Source organism: Homo sapiens, chromosome 19 (assembly GCF_000001405.40).
Source record: "Homo sapiens chromosome 19, GRCh38.p14 Primary Assembly".
NCBI classification, from domain to species: Eukaryota; Metazoa; Chordata; class Mammalia; order Primates; family Hominidae; genus Homo; species Homo sapiens.
In genome coordinates, this window is record NC_000019.10 from 43,060,082 (window position 1) to 43,086,856 (window position 26,775).

The 26,775-nt window shown below is 44.1% G+C and overlaps 1 protein-coding gene across 1 annotated transcript; it reads right to left on the reverse strand.

The window, feature by feature from the left end:
- Window positions 1-4,127: 4,127 nt before the first annotated feature.
- On the reverse strand, window positions 4,128-22,620 carry PSG2 (pregnancy specific beta-1-glycoprotein 2). The gene is made up of 6 exons (NM_031246.4): window positions 22,425-22,620; window positions 20,800-21,165; window positions 15,273-15,551; window positions 11,619-11,873; window positions 6,436-6,519; window positions 4,128-4,520 (listed from the first exon to the last, which is right to left on the reverse strand). Exons 1-5 carry the CDS (start codon window positions 22,486-22,488, stop codon window positions 6,476-6,478), a joined length of 1,008 nt encoding a protein of 335 aa, NP_112536.2. The 5' UTR covers window positions 22,489-22,620; the 3' UTR covers window positions 4,128-4,520; window positions 6,436-6,475.
- Between the last annotated feature and the right edge of the window lie 4,155 nt (window positions 22,621-26,775).

Here is a 26,775-nt window from a genome sequence, read left to right on the forward strand (position 1 = left end):
ATACCCATTGCCTTTAGTGGATAGCAGACCGCATCAGAAGAACATTCCAACAGAGTCATGAGACAATGGGTAGTGTGGCTTCTTTAATTGGCAGGTTAGACTGAGTAAGTTACTGAAGAGAAAGGAGTTGAAGGAGAAGATGGGTGAGGGCAAGAAAAATGGGAAGGTGAAAGGAAAGGACTGAAAGGAATGTTTACCAAGGGCTCATCAGGTACCAGGCTCTGTGACTAATGTCTTACACATGTTAATTTACTCTTCCACTGTCATTTTCTGATGCAGTAAGAGTCAGCCTTATACTGCAGATGAGGAAAGAGGCTGAGGGAGGTCAAATGAGTGGCCCAGGGTCATCCAGCCACTTCATAGCAGAGCTAGTGTGCTTCACTGTGGTTTGTGCAGACAGAAAAGTGAGACGTGGAAGGAAGGCAAAACATTTTTGTTGTGGGTGATGTTTATGAAAGTGACCCATATGAGGCAGAATAATGGCCTCTTAAAAATGTCCACATCCAGGCCGGGTGCAGGGGCACATGCCTGTAATCCTAGCACTTTGGGAGGCTGATACGGGTGGATCACAAGGTCAGGAGTTCGAGACCATCCTGGCCAACATGGTGAAACCACATTTCTACTAAAAATGCAAAAATTAGCTGGGCGTGGCGGTGGGCAACTGTAATGCCAGCTACTTGGGAGGCTGAGGCAGGAGAATCATTTGAACCTGGGAGGCGGAGATTGCAGTGAGCCCAGATTGTGCCACTGCACTCCAGCTGGGGCAACATGAGTGAAACTGTCTCAAAAAAAAAAAAAAAAATCCACATCCTAACTCTTGGAACACATGCATTTACTTTTCTTGGCAAAAACACTGTTCAAAGGTGATGAAGTTGAGTATCTTGAGAAGGAAAGCTTATTCTGACTTATCTGGGTGGCTCCCAGTGTCATCATAAGGGTCCTTGTAAGTGAAAGAGAAAGGCAGGAGGGTCAGGGTGAGAATGATGCAGCCTGAGAGACTCCACTGGCCATTACTTCCTGTGAACATGTGTGATAAGACAAAATTACAACTAATTTAGTTATTGATGTAATTGGCTTTTATTTTTGATTTATGATTTGGGGCAGCTCTCCCTCTACAGATGCTTCAGCATCCCAAGTAGCTGGGACTATATTGCGGGATCTGGCCAGCAGCTTGCAATGCAACAGGGCTCTTTCTTTGTTCCCAGGCAGATCGGCAGGTTGAGAAATAAAAGACACACACAAGATAGTGAAAACTGGGTCCAGAGGGGTCACTGCCTTCTGGTCCTGCGATGCTACCAATGCACTGGATATACCAGCATTTATTATTAAGTTTAGTGAGAGTGTTGGTAGGTTAGTGAGGGATTTAAGGTCATTTGTAAGCTGTCCACAAGGGTCGCATTCCATTCCCAGAGCTATGGACATCTGCTTTTCTGGGATAGGAATCTTGGTTATGTGAAACCTCCCTGACTGCATGTCCATTCATAGGCTCTCTGCAGGCGGAAGCACATCACATGCTGTTGGCTCATTCTGGCAGCCCAACCTGGCATTTGTCTTTACACAATCCTGTATGCAATTTTGTATTTACAATAATCAGGAGCATTTCATCTTTTATTCCATAGCAATAGTTTCAGGGGGTCTCCCTACATCTCCCCCTTTTCTCTGATTTCAATGAACCATAGCAATCATAGGTTGGCACTGATCACGATTGGATTGAAGAATATTTTTTCCAATTTTACACACGAACAGTAAACCAATAGCACAAATTATACACAGAACAAAATTAACGATAGTGGATCCTCCCAAAGATTTTACCTATTGAAAGGGGTTGAGATTAGATAACCCCTCAGAGATACTGTCTAAAACTTCAGCACTAGGTAAAGCAGATAAGTGTGCTTGAGAGGCTTCAAAAATCTGTTCTTTCAGCTTGTTTATGTCTAAACTTAAATTATCTTCACTTCCTTGTAAATGGCATTTTACTGATTCCCAATTGTGAAAAGACTCTTTATATTGGAACGGAGTTATACAAAAATCAGAAGTATTCCAATCACGTTGCATTTGTAATCTGTGTTCTAAACTCATAATTCTATCTCCCATCCATATAACAGAAGCACATCACGCGCTGTAGGCTCATTCTGGCAGCCCAACCTGGCATTGTCTTTACACAATCCTGCATGCAATTTTGTATTTACAATAATCAGGAGCATTTCATCTTTTATTCTGTAGCAATAGTTTCAGGGGGTCTCCCTACAGGACTACAGGTGCGCGCCACCATGCCCTGCTAATTTTTGTATTTTTAGTAGAGACAGGGTTTCACCATATTGACCAGGCTGATCTCAAACTCCTGACCTTGTGATCTGCCTGCCTTGTCCTCCCAAAATGCTGGGATTACAGATGTGAGCCACAGCGCCCAGCCCATAAATCACACATTTCTTTGAGTTTTTGTAATTCCAGCCCAAGAGAAACCATTTGATATTTGAAGAATGGCTGCACACCAATAAAAACATCTGTAGATTGCACCACACGAGGGAGACTACCAGTATGACTATCAGGAGGAAAATATCAAGAGTTTGGAATATGCACCTTAGGCAAGATGCAAACCAACTGCAATAGGATAGATCAAGGAAGAAGCCAGAAGAGTCTAGTCATTTTAACCAGGCAGCACATTTCATGATTTTTACAGCTGAGTCTCTATAAAACCCGATGTATTTATCCATGTGCAACAAGAAGGGTGAGAAACTGCACAGGCTCCCCCCTGTTCAGCTGATAGAGAGCAATTCTATTATCTAGCATTGCATGTGTATGTTAAATTAAAACAGGGAGTGAGAATAGGCAAGTATAGAAGTGGAAGCCTAAAAAAATCTCCATACATTTGAGGAAAAAGTTGTGTTACAGGTGCAGCTAACGTCAGCCTTTGGGTGGATTAAAGGATCTCTCGGTATGTAAAAATGGGTGGGCTGGGTGTGGTGGCTCACGCCTGTAATCGCAGCACTTTGGGAGGCTGAGGCGTGCGGATAACCTGAGGTCGGAGTTCAAGACCAGCCTGACCAACATGGAGAAACCCTGTCTCTACTGAAAATACAAAATTAGCTGGGCGTGGTGGTGCATGCCTGTAATCCCAGCTACTTGGGAGGCTGAAGCAGGAGAAGCACTTGAACCCAGGAGGCAGAGGTTGCCGTGAGCCAGGATTGTGCCGTTGCACTCCAGCATGGGCAACAAGAGCGAAACTCCATCTTATAAAAAAAAAAAAAAGTATGGTTGACATGATATACCTGACACTGTTAACTTACTCTCAGAAGCTACTTCTTGTGAAATCCTAAGTACAGCATTATTCTGGGAAGCAAAGGAGACAGGCATAAGCAAGGACAAATTAAGAGAGGTAAGAGTCTCATCATGATTGATAGTCTTGTTCTGACATCTTGAGAAAAGCTGTCCACAGTGTAAAGTCATCAACTTGTCGTGGTTTGCAGTTTGAGTGTCTCTAAGTTATGGTGTTGAACATGTGGTGAGCTCTTAGTGGCCCCCACCTCAGACACGAGGGTTTTCCCATGAAATTTACATTGAGTTGTCCACCTCCACCTTATATGGCTTCAGGAACAGAGCCACTCTTGTTCTTAATGATTTCATTGGAGAAAATTGAATTGGAAGAACTAAAAGAATTCAGGGTCCAGTCCAGTCTACCAGTGGATTATAAATACTCAAAGATAATGAACAGTGGTTCAATCTGGTAACAGGTGTACTACAGTTTTTCTTTTCAACATAGTTTTTCTCTCTATAGGAGTCTCTATTTTTACCAAAGATAATTCCAGTAGGATGAATTTGTTTGCAAATTTGGTTGAGTCTCACCGAACTTGCCCAGATTTTTTACCTAAGTGCGGCAAGAGTAGCAATGGACTGTAGAGGCCATTTTTAAACTTTGCTTTGCTAGAAGTTTTTAATAAGAATCTCAGATTAAACTTCCAAAAACCTCTTGAGACTAGGAAGCCAAACCAAGGCCCACTTCAGACTTTGCCTGCATTCCCTATGGGTTTATTCTATGTATATTCTCAAATATAACATCCCAGTCAAAGCCTTGATAATATAATCAATGTTTTCAAATGTGTCCTGTTATAAAGAGAGCAGATTCTTACTGAACTTGTGCAAATAGCTTTATTACCATAAACATATGAATACTCATGAATAGATTCCCAATTCTGGGGCACTCAGATAGAGAGCAAAAGGAAATGTTTCAATTTTTGTTTACAAAAGTATACTTTACCAATTGCTCAAGAAAAAATGTTCATAAATCTGGAGAATGAAACATTCCAAGAATCAGCACATTTTCAAATAGAAAATTATGAAATCATTATCCTTTTGATTATTTAGTCCAATAACATTGAGTATTTTTCTTCTTTGTCTTGAATTTCATGAAGGTATCAGCCTGTTCATTAAAATTTTGAAAGTTCTTAGTCCAGTGGTATGATCTTGAAGTTATCAGGAGCTTGTATTCAAGAGTCCTTGTAAGAGACCTTTCCATAAATCTCCTTGAAGAAAAAGCAATTTTGGACTGTAGGTGATTGTAAGTAGTTTGAGGAAGAATCAAAGCAACTGTCTGGGAATGACAGAGATTTAAACTGACTATGGTTAAAAATCTAATGAGAATTTATTATGGTAAAGACACAGCTCACATAGAAATCTAGTTACTTCTGTGGCATATGACACTATGATAACATATTTGATTTTCAGAAATTTCATATAATTTTTAGAATACTCATTAAAAAAATTTTTTTTTCAGATGGAGTCTCACTCTGTCACCCAGACTGGAGTGCAGTGGTGCCATCTGAGTTCACTGCAAGCTCCGCCTCCGCGGTTCATGCCATTCTCCTGCCTCAGCCTCCTGAGTAGCTGGGACTACAGGTGCCTGCCACCACACCCGGCTAATTTTGTTTTTGCATTTTTAGTAGAGATGGGGTTTCACCGTGTTAACCAGGATGGTCTCGATCTCCTGACCTCGTGATCTACCCACCTCGGCCTCCCAAACTCCTGGGATTGCAGGCGTGAGCCATCGCGCTCAGCCTAGAATACTCATATTATTAACATTCCCATAAATATTATTTAGAGAAGGTTTAGCATCACTTATCCCTTATTTGAAAATGCTTTCTATAAATTTAATATATAAAATAAGGTGGCTTTTCCGTTCAGCTTCTGTTTCTCAAGAGGATTACTGAGTTCTTGGTGTAGCCCATTCATAAATAGGGCCAAAAATGTATAGTCTTATGTATGTTGAAAAAGGTCCTTAGGTAATTCCAGTACTTTTAGCTGAAAATCATTGATTTAGTTTTAAGTTCTACCTATTGCAACAGGAGTTCTCCATCCTTGTTACGTGTTAGTAGTGTCAGGGAAGACTTAAAAATTACCAGTGCCTGGGTCCCTCTCCAGACCTTTGAACTGGAACTAATGGGTGGGGCTTGAGCATCCACTTTTAGAAATGTTTTCCAGTGATTCCAATGTGTAGCTCTATTTCCCATCAGATTTCTCTGATTTCTTGTGGCATTCAATTTTTTCTATTTTGGTATCATGATTATTTTCAGGTCTCATTTCCTGTCTTAGGCTTTATGTCTCCTGGGGTAGGGACCTTGCCTTCTTCATTTCTGTATGTTTTTTGAACACATGAACTGATCATCAGGAAAAGATCTCAACCACACATAGGTTGTGTTCTGAGTCTCAGGTTCACATGTTAATCCTAAAGTCTTTGTTCTCCACGAGGTCACATGTTGCTTGTGATGAAGGGTGTGGTTAAGTCTGCAGTGCAGATGGTTGAAGGGATTTCACTCTGTTTTTAGACATAGCATTGGAACTAAGAATTTTATGTCTATATGGGTGAAGGGGCAGGGATGTGTAGGAAGACAGTTCTAATTAGGATGGAGGATTTATACTAGGAAGTAGAGGTAAAGGAAGTGAGAAGCCTTAGTAAATAGAAGAAATGTGAACTTATCAAATAGGCTAGAGTAGACCCCTGCAGATTCTTGATTAAATCAATTAACCAGATTTTAGAAAGGTAATGAGGCAATCATATGCAAGGAAGATTTCAAAGTCTGGAGACAAGAAGTCAAGCAATACTTTGAGAAGTGGTTGAGCTTTATGGGAATGGAGAGAATTACACTATTGAGAGATGTTAAAAATAATGAAGAGGGTTTCACCATGTGAAATTGTGTTTCTCATTTGAATCTGAGAAACAAATGAGCAGAGGCTGGAGATAATTATGTCTAAAAGACAGTGGGGTACAGGGAGCATAAAGGCCAGGGAGAAAGGGAACTGCAGGAATTAGTGCTGAGAAGCAGGAGTTTAGTGGAGGAAGGAGGAGATGCAGTCCCAGATACAGGCAAATAAGTCTTTTCCCTCTCCCAAGCATGGCAGTCAGCTCTGCAGGAACCAGGATAAGAGAAAAGGCCATCATACCTGCCAGTCTTCCTGAAATACAGAAATGACATCACAGCTGCTATGTTGGATTAAGGAGAGGAAGAAGTCCTATTCTTGTAGAAGCTGTCATGGAAAGAAAAGTAAAGAAGGAATGAAGGTGATGTTATTTTACATGGGGGAGCATCAGGAACAAGCATGTAACATGAGGTACTCTATAATTGTTTCTTCAAGGACCACATTATTTCTCTTGGAATATTGATGGGAGATGATTATATTCTTGCAGTTTTTTTTCCCTCTCACCATGTGTCTCGGTTGGTGATCAGTCCTCTGTCAATTCTCTACTGCACTCAGATATTTTGGAAGGCTTTCAGATGTGAGAAAGGCTGATTGCTATTTTCTATGTCATTAGAACTTGCCACATTTTCACCTTTTCATGGTTGCATCTTTTTCTCGGTGTTTCTGTTGTGGCAGTCATGAATGAGACTCTGTCAGGTCTCCATGGCAGGGACCTGATTGGCAGAAGGCCCAGGTCAGTGCATTTCAAATTCACCACCTCTTGTGCACAGAAAGCTTCTTTCCTACAGGCTCCCAGCAAGGGTGTGAAAGCAAGCCTAGTTCTCCGAGGCTCTCTTTAACTCTAATGGGTGACTGGTTGGAGGATTCCTCATCAGCCTTGCAAAAACTCTTAGAACTGCATTGGTACCTAAAACTTCTTTCTCTTTGTTTTTCATAGGAATCAGCTCTGCATAGTGGTCTGTGGGTTCTCCCATACTACCTTCATGCCTGCCCCACATTCCCTCACAGATGTCTTCCCTGATAAATTATCTTGTATGTCTAATCCCATCTTGGATGCATCTCAGTTGGTAAATACTAACATACCAGGCTTGATTCTTTGCCCTTAGCTTTTTTTCTTTCTCTCCCACAAGCAGTCAGTAACCATGTCCTAGTGTTTTATGTGTTACCTCTTTTTCCATATATATATATATGGAAAAAGGTAGATACTGTTGAGGGGCACTTGCTATGTGCCAGGCCCTGTGCTAAATACTTCCCTGTATCTCATTTAATCCACACAATAACCCTGTCAGGTAGACATTATTTCCATTTTGGCAATGAAAAGACAGAAGCTTAGCGTGGTGTAAAAACTTTCCTGGTGTCATATGGCTAGTGACAGGGGGATCTGAGATTTCATTCTAGGACTATTTGACCTCAAGGTTGATGATGATGATAGTAATATAGTAGCTGACATTGGTTCCTCTGTGTGTGGCATCTTGTTTCATTGACTGCATTAAATCTTTAAAAGAATGGTATGAAGAAAGCACTGTCATTGCAATATTCAGGTAAGGAATCAGAGGTTCAGAGAAGTTGAGTCTTGTGCAAGAAATTTATAACTGTAAACTCTTACATTAAAAAAGAAGAAAGATCTCAGATCAACAACCTACTTTAATACTTCAGGATATGAAAGAAGAACAAACTAAACCCAAGCACAGTGAATGAGGGAAATAATAAGGATTAGAGTGGACATAAATAAAATGGAGAACGGAAACAGAATAGAGGAAATTACTGAAACCAAAAGTTGATTCTTCAAAATAAAATCAACAAAATTGACAACCATTAACTAGATTGACTAAGAAAAAAAGAGAAAAGTTTAAAATTCCTAAAATCAGAAATGAAAATGGACTCTGAGCATGGTGGGTCATGTTTTAATCCTAGCACTTTGGGAGGTCACAGCAGAAGGATTTCTTGAGACCAGGTGTTTGGACCAGCATAGGTAACCTGGGGAGACGCTGTGTGTACAAAAAAATAAAAAACCAATTAGCTGGGCATGTTGACATGCACCTGTAGTCCTAGCATCTTGAGAGGCTGAAGAAGGAGAATTGCTTGAGCCCAGGAGGTTGAGGCTGCAGTGAGCCATAATCACACAACTGTATTCCATCCTGGGCTGGCCTACAGAGTGACAGCCTGTCTCTCTCTTTTCAACAAAAAAAAAAAAAAGAAAGAAAGAAAGAAAGAAAGAAAAATGAAGCGATTACTACCAATTCTAATAAAATAATGATTATGAAAGTACTATAAATAATTGTATGCCAATAAATTGGATAACCTAGATGAAATAGACAAACTCCTAGAAACACACAAAAATATGAATAAAACTATAATCACTAATAAGATTGAATCAATAAAAGCATTTGATGAAATTCCATATTTTTTCATAAGAAAAACATTGTAAGAATGGAAGGAAACCACTTCAACATAAAGGCAATATGTGAAAAACCCAATGGTAACATCATACTTAACGGAGAAAGACTGAAAGCTTTCCCTGTATGAGCAGGAATAAGACAAGGATGCCCACTTTTGACACTTTTATTCAACATAGTGTTGAAAGGTCTAGTCAGAAAAATTAGGCAAGAATTTAAAAAAAGACATTCAAATTGGAAGGAAGGAGTAAAATTATTTCTGTTTATAGATAACTTGAACTTATATGTAGAAAATCCTAAAGGTGGAACAAACCTATTAGAATTAATAAATAAATTCAGTAACGTTGCACAATAGAAAATCAGCATTCAAACGTCAGTTGTATTTCAATACACTAACCATGAACAGTCTGAAGGGAAATTAGGAAAAAAATTTCAATTTATATTAACATCAAAAAGAATAAAATATTTAGGAATAAGTTTAACCAAAGAGGTGAAATGATTATACCTGAAATCTACAAAATATGGCTGAAAGAAATGAAAGATGACATCAATAAATTGAAGGACATTTTGTTTTCATGAATTGGAAGACTCAATATTGTTAGGAGGACAGTGCTACCCAAAGTGAGCTGCGGATTCAATACAATTCCTATCAATCAGAATCTCAGTGACATTTTTGCAGAAAAACAAAAATCTGTCCTAAAATTTATATTGCATCTCATGACTAAATAGACACAGAGCTTTGAGGAGGAAGAATGAAGCTGGAGGACTCACACTTTCTGATTTCAGCATTTACTACAAAGCCCCAGTAATCAATACAGTGTGGTACTGGCATAAAGGAGGACATAGAAATTAATGAAGTATAATAGCCCAGAAAGAAATTCTTGCATATATGGCCAAATGATTTTCATCGAGTGTGCCAAGATCATTCAATGGGGAAGGGACAGTGTTCTCACCAAATGATATTGGGAAAGCTGGATATTCAAGGGCAAGAAAACTAGAACCTTTACATAACACCATGTACAAAAATCAACCCATAATAGATCAAAGATCTAAATGTAAGAGCAAAAACTGTACAACTCTTAGAAGAAAAGCTTCATGATGCTGGATTTCACAATGATTTCCTGGTTGTAACAACAAAAGCATAGGCAACAAATAAAACGGATAAATCGGACTTCATAAAAATCAAAACCTTTTACATATCGAAGAACATTATCAAGAAAGTAAAAAGGCAACCCATGAAATGATAAAAATATTTGCAAATTATATGTGTGATAAGAAATTAATTTCCAGAATACATGAAAAGCTACAAGTCAACAACAGCAAACATCCGAAAACCCAATTAAAAAATGAACAAAAGATTAAAATGGAGTTTTCTCCAAGGAGGTTACACAAATATCCAGTAAGCCCATGCAAAGTTCCTCAGCATCATGAATACTTAGAGATGTGCAAATCAAAACCACAATGTTACACCACCTCACACACTTTAGGATGGCTTTGATAAACAACAACAATGACAGCAACACAAAACAACAGGTGTTTTCAAGCAGATGGAAAAATTGGAGCTCTAGTGCATTGCTGATGGGAATGGGAAATGTTATAGCCACTGTAAAAATTGGTGTGCTGTTTCTCAAAAAATTAAACAATAAATTACCGTTTGATCCAGCAATTCCACTTCTGGACATACTCCCCATAGAATTGAAAGAAATTTGAACAAATATTTGTGCACTGATGTTCAGAGAAGCATTACTCACACTAGCGAAAAAATGGAAACAACCAAAAAGTCCATTGAAAGATAAGTGGGTAGGCAAATGAGGTGTGTCTATACGTTGAAATGTTATTCAACCTTAACAAGGAATAAAATTCCAATACATCGTGCAAAATGGATGAACCTTGAAGATATTATGCTAACTGAAATAAGCCAGACACAAAAGGATAATTATTATATAATTCCATTTATAAAAGATAGTTAGAATAGCCAGTTACATAGAGACAGAAATTAGAATGGTGGGTGCTAAGGGTTCGAGGGAGAAGGAGTGAGAGTTACTGTTTATTGGGTACAGAGGTTTAATATGGTAAGAGGAAAAAGTTCTGGAAATGGATAGTGTGATGGTTACACAACACTAAATTGCACACTTAGAAATAGCTAATGGTAAGCCTTATATTAGATATATATAAAGTGTCTGGTAGTCTTACCCTCTCTATAATTACACACTTTTTGGCACTGCCCTTTTCCTGCCATGCAGAGCTCCAGGGGTGAATCTCCCTATTTCTCTAGCTCTGCATCAGTCACAGTCCTCCATGCTGTGTCCCACGTACTGTGCCCACAGCTTCATACAACCGCTGACTTCAGAGCCAGGACCAGGCTTAGGAGTCTGCCCTGAGGCTCCTTCTCTTCTCATTTCCCTGCAGCCTGGCCCGGGGGAGGCTTGGCTTCAACTGGCAGCTCCATTTAGCGAAATTCAGGACAGTCCACAAGGGGTCTTTCTCCACACATGCTGGTCCCACCCCAGGTGGAGTCAAACAGGGCCAGTCACCAGAGGAGCCCAGAGCAGAGCAGGAAGCAGAGTCTGAGCTGCTCCTCCCTCACCCAAGGGGCTTCCTCCTCTCATTTGGGGGAAAAGTGTGAGCTTGTTTCAAAGCCTCAGATGTTCCTTGTAGCTCATGGAATAGGTACAAGAAAAAAAAGACGTGGCAGAAGGGGATGTGTTAGTGACATCCAGAAGCAACTTGATCTTGAGGACACTCCTTCTTGTCCCTCTGTGAAGCCTCTTCTACCACATAGGGCTCAGGGCTGATAATGACCCCTCCCTACCTTTCTCAGGCGAGACACAAGGTCAGCCATGAGAAAACAGAAAAACAAGGAGAAGAGAGTTTGTAGAGACAAATTGGGAGGGTTCAGGAGGAGAATTTGGGATTTGCTTTTGCCCATGGGACACAGGCTGGGAATAAAAATGTTTTCCTGACTCTTCTCTGAAAGCCAGATAGACTCCACCTAAAACCCTACTGCCAAGGATGCTGGGATCCACTTACCAGAGACTTTGACTGTCAACGATGTGGAGCTTTCCTCGCCAGTGGCTGAGTTACGAACAGAGCAAACATAGAGCCCGCTATGCTTTGTAGTAATTTGGGGGATAAACAGATTTTGTCCTGATTGCTGAAACTTCCCATTAATTGTCCAAGAATACTGTGCCGGTGGGTTAGAGTTCGCGAAGCAAGACAAGTAGAGGTTATCTCCTGAACGGTAATTGGTGTATGAAGGGTGAATTCTGGGGAGGTCTGGACCATCTGGAGCAAAGAGAATAAAGCCACAGGTGATGCCATCTGAGGGAAGGGGATGCTCCTGGTCTCTTAAAGGGACACAGTGACCCTCTGAGACAAGACACATCCTCAAGTCCCAGCAAAACCCCCTCTATGTTCACTGAGCCGAACCCTGAAGTATTCACCTGTTTCTCCCACCACAAGATGTGGGCCCCAAGTCTCCCACGACAAGACCGTCCACTCCCCTTATATTCTTGGTTAAGGCTGTGCCTACCCAGGTTTTCCCAGGGCAGGGAGTCATGGCCAGCTTGGATGTCCAGAAGTAAAGTTGTCTATACTTGGACCGGAGAGAGACTGAGAGGCCTGGCCCCTGGTCATTTGGATTTAAGCTGGTGGCCTGGCCCACAGAGGAACAAAAGATACAGAGGACATTCAGGGTGACTGGGTCACTGTGGATGCCACCATATCGGTCCCGTATTTCACATTCATAGGGTCCTGTTTCATTTCTCGTGACACTGGGTAGAATGAGGATCCTGTTTTCAATGGGTCGCTTTACCCTGGGACTGACCGGGAGGCTCTGACCATTTAGCCACCAAATGTAGGTGTAGCTCTCACTCTTAGGTTCACAGGTGAAGGCTAATACATCCTTATTCTCCCTGGGGTTTAAGTTGTTGATGGTGATTTAGGGCTTGGGCAGCTTCGCTGTGTGGATAACAGAGAGAAGATTGTCCTGTGTGGCACTTTTGATTCCTCCACAGGCATCCTTCAATCAGAGTTACCATCTCCCACCTCTCAGCCCACCTGAGTCCTTGAAAGCCAATAACTGGTGTGTGTGTCACAAGACAGATGCATGATGATCTAAGGGCTCAAAGACTGTGAGGCCGCCTGCTCTGTCTTAGGAAAGCACAGACTTTCTGAAGTGTCAATTGAGCAGCAGTGTTGGGTCATGGACAGACATGTCAGTGGGAGTCACAGCCCCAGTACCCCTCCCAGTCTCTCCCTAATCAGTTGACTGGCTGGCTCACCTTGGGTTCCTTACCTGGAATGTGCAACTGCTGGGCCCCTTCCAAATTCCATCCTACTTTGCCCCCCTAGATGTGATTTCTCTGCAGCTTCCATTTCCAAGGACATTCTAGAGATCAGTAATAATGGGACTTCCCATTGTCCTGAAACCCTGAAGATACTGAGCAGCCTGGCCTGGGACTGGATGTTTCAGCAGAAATAACACAGGGGAGACCAGAGTCAAGCCTGGAGGTCAGTTCAGTCATCAGGCAGTGGAGGCACAAGGTGGGGCAGCTTTTTGCAGGTGTTTCATGATGACTTACTTGAACCAGTGACCTCTAAAGATAGAACAGAGTGCAAGGAATGATCTAGAAAGAGTGAAGGGGATAGGCAAGAGCTGGTGGCTTTGGAGCAGAAGCATGTTCCCTGTCTTGGGTTCTTTAAGTTTCCTCTCCTTCTGCAGAGGGCAGGTGAGGACCATGTGGATCTTTCCAGAAATACATGCGGACATTTGCAAAAGCAGAACTGACTGGTGGAAAGGGTGGGAATGAACTGCTGGAAATCTGGTCGTCATGGACCATGTGTGTTTGATGGATATGAGACAAATTTGGAGAGAAGTTTTTCAAATATTTTCTTTCATTGAACAATCTACTCTGTGATTCCCTGGGTTCGACTACTCTAGGGACCTCATGTAAGTGGATTCCAGAGTGAATATGAGAAGAGACTGCTGGTTGCCAGGAGCTGGGAGTGGGGAGAATCAGAAGTTGTTCATGGGTGTGCAGTTTCAGTTATGCAAGGTAGGGAGTTTCTAGAGATCTGCTGTAGAGCTTGATGCCTATAGTTCACACAGATTGAGTATTTCTTATGCATAAGACTTAAGACAAAAAGTGTTTCGGATTTCTGACATTTTTTGATTCTGAAATATTTGTCATATACTTACTGGTTTAGCATCCCAAATCTGAAAGATTCAAAATCTAAAATGCTCCAGTGAGCATTTCTTTTCAGCATCAGATTAGTAGGCAAAAGTGGGAGGTGATAAGCCAAAGATATTCTTGCCCTTTTTTTTCTCTCACCACGTTTCTGGCTTGGTGATTAGTTTTCGGTCAATTCCATACTGGCCATGCTGCACTCGTTTATTTTTTAAGGCTTTGGGATGTGAGAAAGGCTGATTGCTATTTTCTGTGTCATCAGAACTTTCCACCTTTTCATGGTTGCATCTTTTTCACAGTGTTTCTGTTGTGGCAGTCATTAATAAGAGCCTGTCAGGTCAGATTTAGGACGGAGTTTTCTAATTCTGCCAAAAATGTTACTGTGATTCTGGGAGGGGTTGCATTGAATCTGCAACTCACTTTGGGTAGTATTGTCTTTCTAACAATATTGAGTCTTCCAATCCATGAAAATGAAATGTCTTTCCATATATTGATATCGTCTTTAATTTCTTTCAGCAATGTTTTGTAGTTTTCAAGGTATAATCATTTGACCTTTTTGGTTAAACTTATTCCAAAATATTTTATTCCTTTTGATGTTAATGTGAATTGAATTTCTTTCCTTAATTTCCTTTCAGATTGTTCATTGTTAGTGTATAGTCTAAAGAATGATCTAGAAAGAGTGAGGGGACAGGCAAAAGCTGGTGGTTTTGGAGCAGAAACATATTCCCTGTCCTGGGGTTTTGATTTTCCCTCTCCCTTTGCAGAGGGCAGGTGGCTCTTCCCTGATAGCTAGATAGACTTCACTGGAAAACATATTGCCAATGTTTCAGGGATCCACTTACCAGGGACTATGGTCCTCTTGATTATGAGATTTGTTCCAGCAGTGGCTGAGTTATGGATGAAACAGACATAGAGCCCTCTATATGTTTTAGTGATTTGAGGGATAAAGAACACTTGTGCTGATTGCTGGAACTTCCCATCAATCAGCCAAGAATGCTCTGCCAGTGGGTGAGTGTCTGTGAGGCAGGAGAGCTTGGGGACTTCCCTTGTATGGTAATAGGTGTGAGGAAGAAATGGTGGGGGCATCCAGGCCATCTGGAGCAAAGAGCATAAAGTCACAGGCACTATTGTCAGAGGGAAGGGAAAATCCTGGTCTGTGGAAGGGCCACAGTGACCCTGTGAGCCAAGCCGCAACACTGAACTCCCAGCCAAATCCCCGCTGTGTTCACTGATCTGGAGCCTGAGACATTCACCTGTTTCTCCCATCACAAGCTGTGGACCCTGAGTCTCCTATGACAGGAGGAGCCTCTTTTCTCCTATTGTGGATCAAGCCTAGGCCTATTCTGGTTTGCCTGGGGCAGAAAGTCATGGCCAGCTTTGATGCCTAGGGGTAAAGGTCTCTGTACTTGGACCTGAGAGGGACTGAGAGGCCTGGCCTCTGGCCATGTGTATTTGGGATGGCAGTCTGGCCCACAGAGGAACAGAAGATACTCACGGAGGAGATTCAGGGTGACTGGGTCACTGCGGCTGGCACTCCCTGAGTTCCGTATTTCACATTCATAGGGTCCTGCAGTATACTTTGTGACACCAAATAGAAAGAGGGTCCTGTTGGTTTCGGACAGCTGAAACCTATGAGTCATAGGGAGGCTCTGACCATTCATCCACCACTGGTAGCTTGTGTCCGGAGTCTCAGGATCACAGGTTAAGATCACAGTTTCCATGGCCTCCCTGGGGTTTAAGTTGCTGCTGGAGATGGAGGGCTTGGGAGTCTCCACTGTGCAGAAAACAGAGAGAAGATTGCCCTGTGTGGCACCTTTGATTCCTCCAAAGGCATTTTTCAATCAGAGTTGGCATTTCCCACCTCTCAGCCCACCCAAGTCCTTAAAAGCCCATGGCAGGTGTGTGTGTTACAAGACAGATGCATGGCAATCTGAGGGCTCAGTGATTGTGAGGCTGCCTGCTTTATGTGGGAGAAGCACAGACTTTCTCAGGTGTGTATTGAGCAGCAGCATTGGGTCATGGAAAGACACAGGACCAGCAGTCACAGCCCCTGGTGCCTCTCTGAGTCCCTCCATCTCGAAGTGCCTGCCTGGCCCACCTTGTGGTCCTCACTTGGAGCATGCAGTGCTGGAATCTTCTTAGTTTCAGTCTTACTTTGCCCCCTGAGGTATGTTTTCTCTGCAGCTTCCCTTGCCAAGGACATCCAAGAGATGAATGATGGAACTTCCCATTGTCTTTAAACCCTTTGGGTACTGGAAAGCCTGGCCTGGGACTGGGTACTTCAGCATAAATAACACAGGGGAGACCAGAGTCAAGCCTGGAGGTCAGTTCAGTCATCAGGCAGTGGAGCCACAAGGTGGGGCAGTTTTCCCAGGTGTCTCATAGTGAGTGACTTGAGCCAGTGACCTCTAAAGATAGAGCAGAGTCCAAGGAATGACCTACAAAGAGTGAAGGGGACAGGCAAGAGCTGATAGCTTCTGAACAAGACCATGTGCCCTGTTCTGGGTCCACAATGCTCCCTTCCCCCTGTAGAGGGCAGGTGAGGACGATGTGGACCTTTCTAGAAATACATGTGGATGTTTGCAAATGCGAAACTGACTGGTGGAAAGGGTGAACATGAACTGATGATGGAAGTCTGGCCCTCATGGACCATATGTGTTTGGTGGATATTAGACCAATATTTGGGAAGAAGTCTTGCAGATACTTTCATTAGATATTCTACTCTGTTTCTGAGTTTAACTACCCTATGTACCTCATATCAGTGGATTCCAGAGTGAATCAGAGAGTAGAATAGTAGTTTCCAGGAGCTGGGATCAGGGGAATAGGGCGTTGTTCTGTGGGTGTGCGGTTCCAGTTATGCAGGATAAGGAGGTTCTAGAGATCTCCTGTACAGCCTCGTGCCTATAGTTCATTCAGATAAAGTGCTCCTTATGCAGAAAGCTTAAAACAAAGTGTTTTGGATTTCTAATTTTTTTATTTTGGAATATTTGCCGTATATGTACTGGTTTAGCATCCCAAATCTGAAAAATTTAAAATCCACAATGCGCCAGTGAGCACTTCTTTTTAGCATCACATCAGTGGTCAGAAGGGTTGAGTTTTGAGCATTTCAGATTGTGGATTTCTGGATTTGGGATGCTCAATTCGTAATACTGTAATTTTCCCATAAAAAGTTGTCAGGAGTTTAGACCTCATGTTATGTTCTGACTCTAGTAACAAAAAAAATTTGGAGGAAATATTAAAATGTTTTCATAAGTGGAAATTTTTACTGATGATCCAAACATCTAAGATCAATTGCTGGTAGTAGTATTTCTCCTGAGACCAAAATAAGGTTTAGGTGTGCCGTGAATTCCAGCAGGATCACATTATGCTCAAAGAAAGATGCCAAAGGTGATTGGAAATTAGCAGCTCCTTAAGTAGAGAGAGTCCCGTTAAAAGGACAGAACTGGTCAGTGCATCAATTACATAAAGGGAGGAAGGATGCCAAATTAAAAGAAGTGATGTGTGTTATGTTAGTAAATATAGAAAGAACTCCCTGCTTCTAATTTCTGTGCAGAGTTAGGAAAAATGGGGAGGACCCCAAAACAGGTATGTGAAATGCTTTCTTCATTTTCTCTTAAGCTCAGGAAACACCACTAGAGTTTAAGTTTGTGTGAAATAGGAAGATTCTAAGTGAGATGCCAATGGCTCATGTGTCTCCCCACAAGAAGAACTCCAACTTATGAAAACGGCATCATCATGAGGAAACACTTGTGTGTGGCACAGGCAGTAAAACCATCAGATAGCACCCACCTGGTCACCTCCAACTGGTCCTCAAAACCACCAGTATTCCTATTACGTGTACGTTACAGCATTTGTATTTGTCCCACAACTACATAATTTAAAAATTGCTACTGTCAAAACAAAATATTAAATATGAAGTTGAATCAGTTGTTCCACTTTTTCTTCCCCACTCTTCTTGAACTTTCCTGTTTCAGTTTTGGAAATTTCTATTGACACGTCCTCAAGCTAGGGATTCCTTAGCTTTTTTACTTAGTGTTGGAACCGAGTGACAAATTCCAAGCTTGTTATATGCCTGACCGGAAGCCAGAAGTCTCTAGGAAGTGACTGGAGAATGTGAGCTCTATAGCAGGTTGAGGATGGAGTCACGAGTGAAATGGGTGATATGAGCCCATGGGCTTGGGGGACTGCAGGCCTGTCCAGCCTCTGACACCCTGGTGAGTCATTGCAGAGATTACAACAGTGACAGCAAACTAGCATGGCTGACTCCATCTGGCATCTAGTCTCAGGCTGGCTGTCCTCACTTATTCCTGGGCATAGGCCAGGCTAACCTTGGGAGGAATTTAGTTTATGGTTTAATTTTGAAGCAAGAATGATAATAGTTCCTCCATAAAACTAACACCCTTACTTTGCCCAGGGACGGCCTTTGTCAAACTAGTGAAAGACCATGAGATTAAGATTATAGGAGGGAACCGAATTCTGCTAAATTGTTGTCACAGTTTCTATAATCCCTGACTGCTCCAATGTCATTTGGCTGGAGTTGACAAAATTTGTAACTAATTGATCCTATAGATAACATCACTATTATAGAAGTTGAGATTGGTCTTTTGAGATGTTTCTCATTCTTTTGCATTCTGGCAACTGGCTGACCTCATCCATACCTATGATTAATGGCTCAGCCAGTCATGTGGTCCCTACCTAGAGGCGGATTCCAGCACAAACTGATCATTTCCCTCCGCCCGCATGATTCCATCACCAAACAATCAGCAGTACTCATTTTTCAGTCCTGTGCCCCTGAAACTATCCTTGAAAATCTCTAAGCCCTGATCCACTGGGGAGGCTGATTTGAGTAATAATAAACCTCTGTCCTCCTGTTTGGCAGACTTGGAGTCATTAAAATCTTTCTTTACTACAAATCACCATTTCAATAATTTTTTTGTGTGTGTGTGCAGGAGGCCAGAAGAACTTGTCTGACAATGATAAGAGTGGTTGGAGGGACTTCCTATCCCTGTCCCATGGTCTTGTCCACAGGTCAGCCTCACAAAGGGGAAGAGCCCTTGATGGGAATACAGTGGAAGCTCATTCTCTTAGTGACCTGGGGACATTGGCTCGAGATGAAGCCTGGCAGGAGTGGCAACTCCAGGTGATTTCTGCACCTTTCCTATTTCCTGGGAGGTTGGCTAGGCCACAGTGTTAGAAGGAAGGGAACAGAACAGCCAGCCTAGTTAGAGGGAGTGTCTGGGGAAGGCCTAGGTGTGAGGGAAGAAGCTGTGCAGGACAGGGCTTGCCAGTCAGAATGAAGTGGGAGGAAGATGAGGGACACAGAGAAGCAGAGAGAGGCAGAGACACCATGGCAGTGAGCAGTGAGGGCTACACTGACGTCAGAGACCCCAGGGACCAGCTGCCCCCAGTTCCACAGTCCAGAACCAAGGAGCCCTGAGAACCCTCTGGTGGCCAAAGAGCTTCAGAGTTACATGAGGTGGGGTTGCTTTAGGGGCAAGAGGTAGTGGGGGGATGAAACATGGGTGTCAGCTTCTGAAGGACAAGGGACAGGTGTGGCTAGGACCTCCTAGGATTCTGCATCCAACATCCAGTCTCTAAAGAGGTTTTGGATCATTCATTTCTTCATTCCATTCCTTCATTTGTTATGTGAGAGCTCCTGAGTGTGTGTGTCTCTCACTGGGCCTGTGCTGATGCAGGGTGTGAGTGGGGAAAGAAAACAAGGTCCTCTCCTTGATCCTCTCATGACAGTGACATGGACACTTTGGGAAACACAGGGTTTCAGGTTCAGTGATGGGGGTTAAGATCTGAGAGGGAGGCCTGCTCATGTTTTTTGCACTGATTCTGACAGTTGAGGCAGGTGATTTAGTTCTGGAGTACAGATTAATCAGCTGACCATTTGCTCTCACTCCTCTGAGGTTTGGATGCCTAAGAAGAGAGGATTTGAGCCAATAAATGACATGGGGTCCTTGGGACCCAGTAAGCCCTCACTTCTGGTGGAGGAGAGGAAGGGCCTGTGGCTGCAGGCAGACCTCATGTGACCCTGATCTCCCCTTTGTGTTGGTGTGACTCTGGTTCAGTGACTGTGCCTTCCTGTGCCTCAGTTTTCTCTCAATCAAATAAGCTAAATGGCAAATGGACTGTGGCTTTTCATGCTATCTGTGAATAAATGTTAAAGTATTCACAGTCACTTGATCTAATGCTTGGCACAGTGGAGGTTTCACACAAACAGCATTTATTATTAATTTGCTTCCATGAGAAAGCACCGTTACATCAGATCCCTGTGGACAAGCTGCTACCAGGTACATCTTCTGTCTTCTGTTTCTGCTTCTGGGGACATTAGACTTCCTATGGACTCTCCTAAGCCTCCTAAGGCAGTTGGCTGATGGTCTTCAAAGATTGTCTTTCTGTCCTCTCCACTCTGCCTCTCCTGTTTTGACCTCTGTCCTCTACACCATTGCCCAGATGAGGCTCTGAGGGCTGAGCCCTAGCTGGTGAACAGCTCCAGGAGACACAGTCCTCAGACAGCTGGTAAATCCTTGGTCCCAGTAAGCCCTGCCCATGAAGCCACAACCCAGCCCTGGCACAGGCTCCTAAGCTTTATCTGGAGCAAGGATTTAGGGACAGGGTTTGGAGGTTGAGGTTTCTAGGGCTGAGCTTCTCTGAGAGTATCTCAGGGGACCCCTCAGGCCAAGCCCTGCTCAGTTCTCCAGGGTCTTTCTCAGGGTCAAATTTATGAAGAGGGCATGAGGTGCTTGGCTGAGACTGATCTCCTCCTGCTGAGTCCCCCCATCAGACTGTCCTTCCTCTGCAGCGAGTGTCTGCAGGGTCTGGATGCGGGAAAGGAATTCTGATCTGTTGAAATGTGTCTCCTCTGTGTGTGTCCTGCACTAAATGCCCAAACCCCAGCATGGGACATAATGCAGAGAGGGACACAGGCACAGTCTAGGCCTGACAATCCTGTGTGTGTGAAGTAGAAATGACCCCTGTCCCCCAACACCCAGGGATCATGTGGAATCACTTACGGTATAAGGTGAAGGTGAAATATCCAGTTACTCCTCTAGTCCCATCACCTCGCTTTATGATGTGTAAGGTGTAGGATCCTGCGTCCTCCCGGGTGACATTCTGGATCAGCAGGGATGCATTGGAATATGCTGTTTCTCGTCCACTATATGCAGGCCCATATATAATTATTTGACCGTCTACTACATATGATGTAATGTAATGGTAGAGGTCCCTGATTTGCCCTTTGTACCAGATGTAGCCAGTAAGATTCTGGGGCAAATTGTGGACAAGTAGAAGAACATCCTTCCCCTCGGAAACTTTTGGTGGCTGGGCTTCAATCGTGACTTGGGCAGTGGTGGGCAGGTTCCAGAAGTTTAAAAGTGATGCTAGGAGGTGGAGAGAGCATCAGACAATATTGAGACCTATGTATTGGGGTGAAAAGATGGGGCCCTGGGTCCTGAGGAGGTCTCTTCAATCCTCAGCCTTGAAGACACACACACACACACACACACACACACACACACACACACACACACACAAAAGGGGCATGTGTGTTTGTATGTGTGTATGTGTGTGTGTACTACTGTCCTACTAGGTCAAGGTCAGCAGCATGACCCCCATTCCTTCACCACTTGTGACCTTGGCATTTTTCTGTTTGGAATCCTCTTCCCCAGGGGTCCGCATGACCCCATCAGGTCCTGCTCACATCAGGGTATCCTAAGACTTCTTTCCTGACACCTCCTTCAGAGACCCTGGGTCTTCCCTTTCTGACCTTTCCCTGCTCTGCTCCCTAAAGGGTTCTTGTTAACAGCTGACCTCACATTCTAGATCTCTTTGTATGTCTGTCTTCCTCCCCATGACAGCATGAGCTCAGTGAGGACAGGGACTTTTGTGATCTTGGTTGCACCCCAGTGCCTGGAACAGGCTGCAGACTCCTGTAGATGTGAGACTTCTCAGGGCCCTCCACACCCTTGGTGTTTTTTTTTTTCTCCCCCAATTGTTGAGGTTTTTTGCTGAGGACAGTGTTTCACGTCCTGCTTATATTTTTATTTGAAGTGTCATCTGATATAGTTATTATTATCATTTTTCAAAATGTGGCCCCTGATGATTAATCAGGAAAACAGAACACTTAAGATTTTCCTACCTCTTACCAATTCCAGTTCAATGTGATTTTCCTGTTTTGACCCCTGTCCCTCTCTGGTATATTTTCCCCTATCCAGGCTCCAACAGAGCCTTCTTTCCTTTTATTTCTTTCTTCTCTCTTTTTTTTTTTTTTTTTTTTTTTTTTTTTTTTTTTTGAGACGGAGTCTCGTACTGTCGCCCAGGCTGGTATGCAGTGGCGCTATCTCGGCACGCTGCAACTTCTGCCTCCTGGGTTCACGTGATTCTCCTGCCACAGCCTCCTGAGTAGCTGGAATTACAGGAACACACGACAATACCTGGTTAATTTTTTGTATTTTTAGTAGAGACAGGGCTACACTGTGTTGGCCAGACTGACCTTGAACTCCTGATCTCGTGATCCACCCACCTCAGCCTCCCTAAGTGCTGGCTTCTTTCATTTTTTAGAACCCCATCCTCTCCAGGAGACCCCATCCAGTCACTCTTCTTCCTCCTCCTGTCCTCTCCCAGGAAGTTCTCTCCTCACCTGTGACCAGGAGCCCCTTCCATTTGATGTGCTCTGTGCAGGGAGGGGCTGAGAGGGGCCCCATGGTCTCTGCTGCCTGTGTGTTCTCCTCTGTGGAGATGAGCCTAGGATCCAGAAACTTCCTGAGCACGGCTGTCAGCTGTGCTGTCCTTCCTCCTTCTGCACTGAGCCTCTTCCTGGGGCAGCAGCAATTCCCAGGCTCATGGGTGGGGTCAGGCCCAGGACACCTCTCTGTCCCCTCCTCTCTCAGTCCTGCCTCCTTGTCCCTCCTTCTGTTTTCCTTTTGTCTGTGTTTCAGGTCCCTGGGGATTGTGGAGGCCTCTGCCTTTTTCAGCAGTGATTCTTTCACCAAACCTCAACACACACTTTGTGCAGACACACACACACACACACACACACACACACACAAAAGAGACACACACCGACCCACACAGTGACACACATACCCTGCAGGTTGGGCAAGGACAGTCCTGGGCCTCAGCCTCCTGCTGTCCCCATGGCCCTGGGTCGGGGTACACATTCACGACCTTTGCCCTCTTTCATCCCCATCTGGCTCTCCCCTTCAGTGCAGGAGGCTGGAGCTGCACCAGGTCCCTGTCACAGTGATGTCCCATTGTGCTGTGGGTGAGCTGTGTGTTGCCTGGTGAGAGGGACCCTTCCTTTCTCTAATCGTGTCTAGCTTGGCTGCAGCTTCCAAGAATGGACATTCAGGACCTGGGTGTCCTAGAGGAAACTGTCCTTTCTGGAGGTGTGCAGGGTGAATCTCTCATGCCTCTTGGTAGGAGAGGCCTGTGCTGGTTGCTCAGTGGGGGCTGTGAGTCCCGTAGTCAAGGGGAAGTTCTCGGTCACTCTCTGACTCCCTGGGGTTTGGCTGCTGAGCTGGTGCTCAGGGTTTCTCATGTTCTTCCTGACCATCTTTGATGTCCTCTCTTCTCTGCCCAGCTGATTGTCCTGTGGTCACCACACCTTCCCCGTGGTGGTGCAGGAGGAAGTGGGGAGTTACCCAGGAACCCCGCGGGACATGGCTTGTTGAGACGCAGGAGGGGGAACCTGGGACAGAGCAGGGGTTCAGAGCTGGAGAGATTCATCCCGACTTACTCCGTGGCCATGATGGGCTCAGCCCTCCATGTGCTGACATACCCAGGGGTCTGTCCTGAGGGTTTTGACCTGGCCAAGCTGCTGTGTGTAGAGGAGGAACAGGCAGTGGCCAGAGATCCTGTCTGGAGGGACATTGCTCACACCTGAGAGGGCAGGTGGGGGTGAGTTGTGTTCTGGGAGCAAAGAGCAATAACACCCCTCATCTCCCCGCAAGGACACAAGAGAGGTCTGTCTTCCCAAGGGACAGCTGGGGGCAGGTGGCCCCATCCCGGATGGTACCTGTGTGTGACCATCACATGCGCTCTGAGCCCCGCGCGGTGCAGCGGGCAGGGAGGTCACAGGGTGCCTGGCTGATTCCCGGGGAGGCTGTGGGCCCTCAGGCAGCCGCTGTTCTGTGTCAGCTCTAGGCTTGGCCTGGGATGCCCCAGAGAACAGGACAGATGGAGCAGGGGTGGGCATTTAGGGAGCAGTGACAGAAAGAGTTGATGAGGATGGAGGGAGGTCAGGAGGGGAAAGCTCCCAGTGTAGTGTCGCGTGCACCAGCGCTGCCCTGGGAGATGCCTTTAGCTGGGCCCAGGGAAGGAGCAGGTGTGTGGGGCAGGAGCTCCCTGCAGAGGGAGTGGTGTTAGGTTGGCGGCAGCCAAGGCAGGGAGGAGCTGACAGAGTCCGTGTGGGGAGCATGGAGGGCGCTGAGGACTTAGGCCCAAGTGACCCTGGTGAGGGTGGACACTGCTGGGCTGTGGGTTCCGCTGAGGGAGGTTGGCATCCCCTGGGAAGGCTCCAGGCTGGGAGGGACTCTGTCGCCCTCTTGTGGACAGGGAGGGAAGTGTGAACGGCAGCAATCCCAGGCCAGGCTGCATGTTTTATTCCATGTGGATCTGCACACTTCACACGAGGTCACACATATGTTATGTTACAGCTCCTTCACCTTCCAGCCCCGTGAGTCCCAGTCTGTGTGACTCTACGTTCACTGTTCTCCCTCTTTCACAATCAGATGTCCGAAACGCAGATTTTTGTCACCTTCTGTGAGTTTGTGTTTGTGTGCAGTAGGCGGCACTGTGTATACCCTGGGGGCAGTGATGTCTGGGGCTGAGCACTGGACATGGGCTTGGGAGCAGAAGAGGGAGCAGCAGGGTGGGAAGATCAATGTTGAGGGGCAGGGACAAGTCATTTTCATTTTCTCACTCCCAGGGACCAGAACCCAGGATTCTGACTCCAGGGCACAGTATCACACCCTTCTGGTGTCCCTGGATGTCGTGATGCTCATAGCGTCATGTTGCCTTGGCATTCATTTTTTAAGGTGTAAGTTTATTTGCCTCAAATCAGAGGCAGGGCTTGGTCACCATGGCAGTTTTCAATACTGTATCTGGTTCAGGTGGCTCCAGTTGGTGTCCAGAGATAAAATCTTAGAGGCATCTCTCCTGCTTGGTGTGCTGGGCTCACCTCTCTCCAGCTGCTTTCTTTAAACTGATAATTCTGACATTCGCCCTCACATTTAAAGTGACCACCTCTCAGTCACAGCCTGAGCTCCTGGTCCCAGTGTTTGCTGCTTGCTTTGAACACATCCATTAAAGCTCCCTGCTGGAAACCTGTCAGATAACACCCTGGACTTAATAAAGCCATTGGCTCACCGGTCTCTTTCCTCCCTGCCTGTGCTCACTGACCTCTGTGGTCTCCAGGTGTGCTGAGTGCTCCCTAGTGTGTGTAAGTATTAAAAATACTTACATTTTCACATTGTGGTTGTATCATTGTAGCCTCACATGCCATCCAGGGCCTGACATTGAGGCTGCCCTATGGGACCTGTGCTGGTTGAGCCCCTGCTGGAGCTCTTGTTTTGGGGCCTCTGGTTCTGCTGGGGACAGGAGCTTCCAACTAACTTGATTGAAAATCTGATGCGTTTCATTGAAACACTGGGTCAGATGATGTATTCATGGGCTTCAGCTGCCATAACAAACACCTTAGCCTGGGTGAATTAAATAATAGAAATCTGTTTTTCACAGTTCTGTGAATAATATGCTATTTTAACCACTTTAAAATCCACAATCAAGTGAAATTAACCACATACACAGTGTTAAATTACCATCACCAGTATTTTTCCTAGAAAATTTTTATCATTTTAAACTGAAGCTTTGTATCTTTTAAACAATAACTCCCTGTATGTTCCACCCTAGACTTTGATCATCTCTACTCTGTCTCTATGAATTTGCCTATTCTTGGTGTTTCACATAAATGGAATTATACAATTATGTTATTTTGTTTCTGACACATTTCAGTTAGCATAATGTTTCCAAAGTCCATGCATGTTCCAGCGGGTGTCAGACCTTCATTCCTCTTTATGGCAGATTAACATTCTGTTGTGTGTGTCACCATATTTATTTATTCATGTGTTGATGAGCACTTGGATTGTTTTCATATTTTATCTCTTGAATAATGCTGCAATCAACATTCCTATGCAAGTGCCTGTTTGAGTCCCTGGATTTAATTCCTTGGGTGTACACCTAGGAATAAATGTTGGGCCAAATGAGAATTCTATGATTAGCTTTTTGAGGAAAAGCAAAACTCTTTCTCCTAGGGGCTGTACTTTTTATATTCTCACCAGCAATGTATGAGGATTCCAAATTCTACATAATGCTGCTACTTGTTATTTAACATTTTAAAAGAATGGTAGCCAGTTTCGTAGGTGTGATGTGGTGTCTCATTGCAGCTTTGACTTTGTATTTTCCTAGTGACTAATGATGTTGAGTATCCTTTCATGTCCTTCTTGATGTGGTTTGCAAATATTTTCTCTCATTCTGTGTCTATTAATTATTTTCTTGATAAGTTTCTTTGATGTACAAAAGGCTCACATCTTGATAAAGCCCAATTTATCTTTTTTTCTTGTTTCTCATGCTTTTGTATCATATCTAAGAATCCATTGCACATTTGAGGTCATCAATATTTACCTCTATGTCTATTTTAAGATGTTTTTATGGTTATAAGTCTGATATTTAACTCAGTGATTAATTTTTTAGAGAATTGTTTGATATGGTGGAAGCTAGAGTAATCTAAATTCACTGTTTTGCATGTGGTTATCTAGTTGTTTCTGCACTATCATTTGAAAGGAGAGTTGTTCATCCATTAAATTGTCTTGACACCCTCTTCAAAGAGTAATTGACCATAAGTGTGAGGGTTTATTTCTAGACTGTCAATTCTATCCCATTTTTCTTTATGTCCATTCTTTTGCCAGCAGCTTCTGTTTTAATAATTGTACTCC

Coding starts and splice junctions, on each gene's coding strand:
- PSG2 (NM_031246.4), bottom strand. CDS start 22,488: ATGGGGCCCCTCTCAGCCCCTCCCTGCACAGAGCACATCAAATGGAAG. Junction 15,552..20,799: donor TTTCACCTTCACCTTATACC/GTAAGTGATTCC, acceptor TTTTCTGCACAG/TGGAGACTCCCAAGCCCTCC. Junction 6,520..11,618: donor GTTGACAGTCAAAGTCTCTG/GTAAGTGGATCC, acceptor TTTCCATGACAG/CTTCTACAAGAATAGGACTT.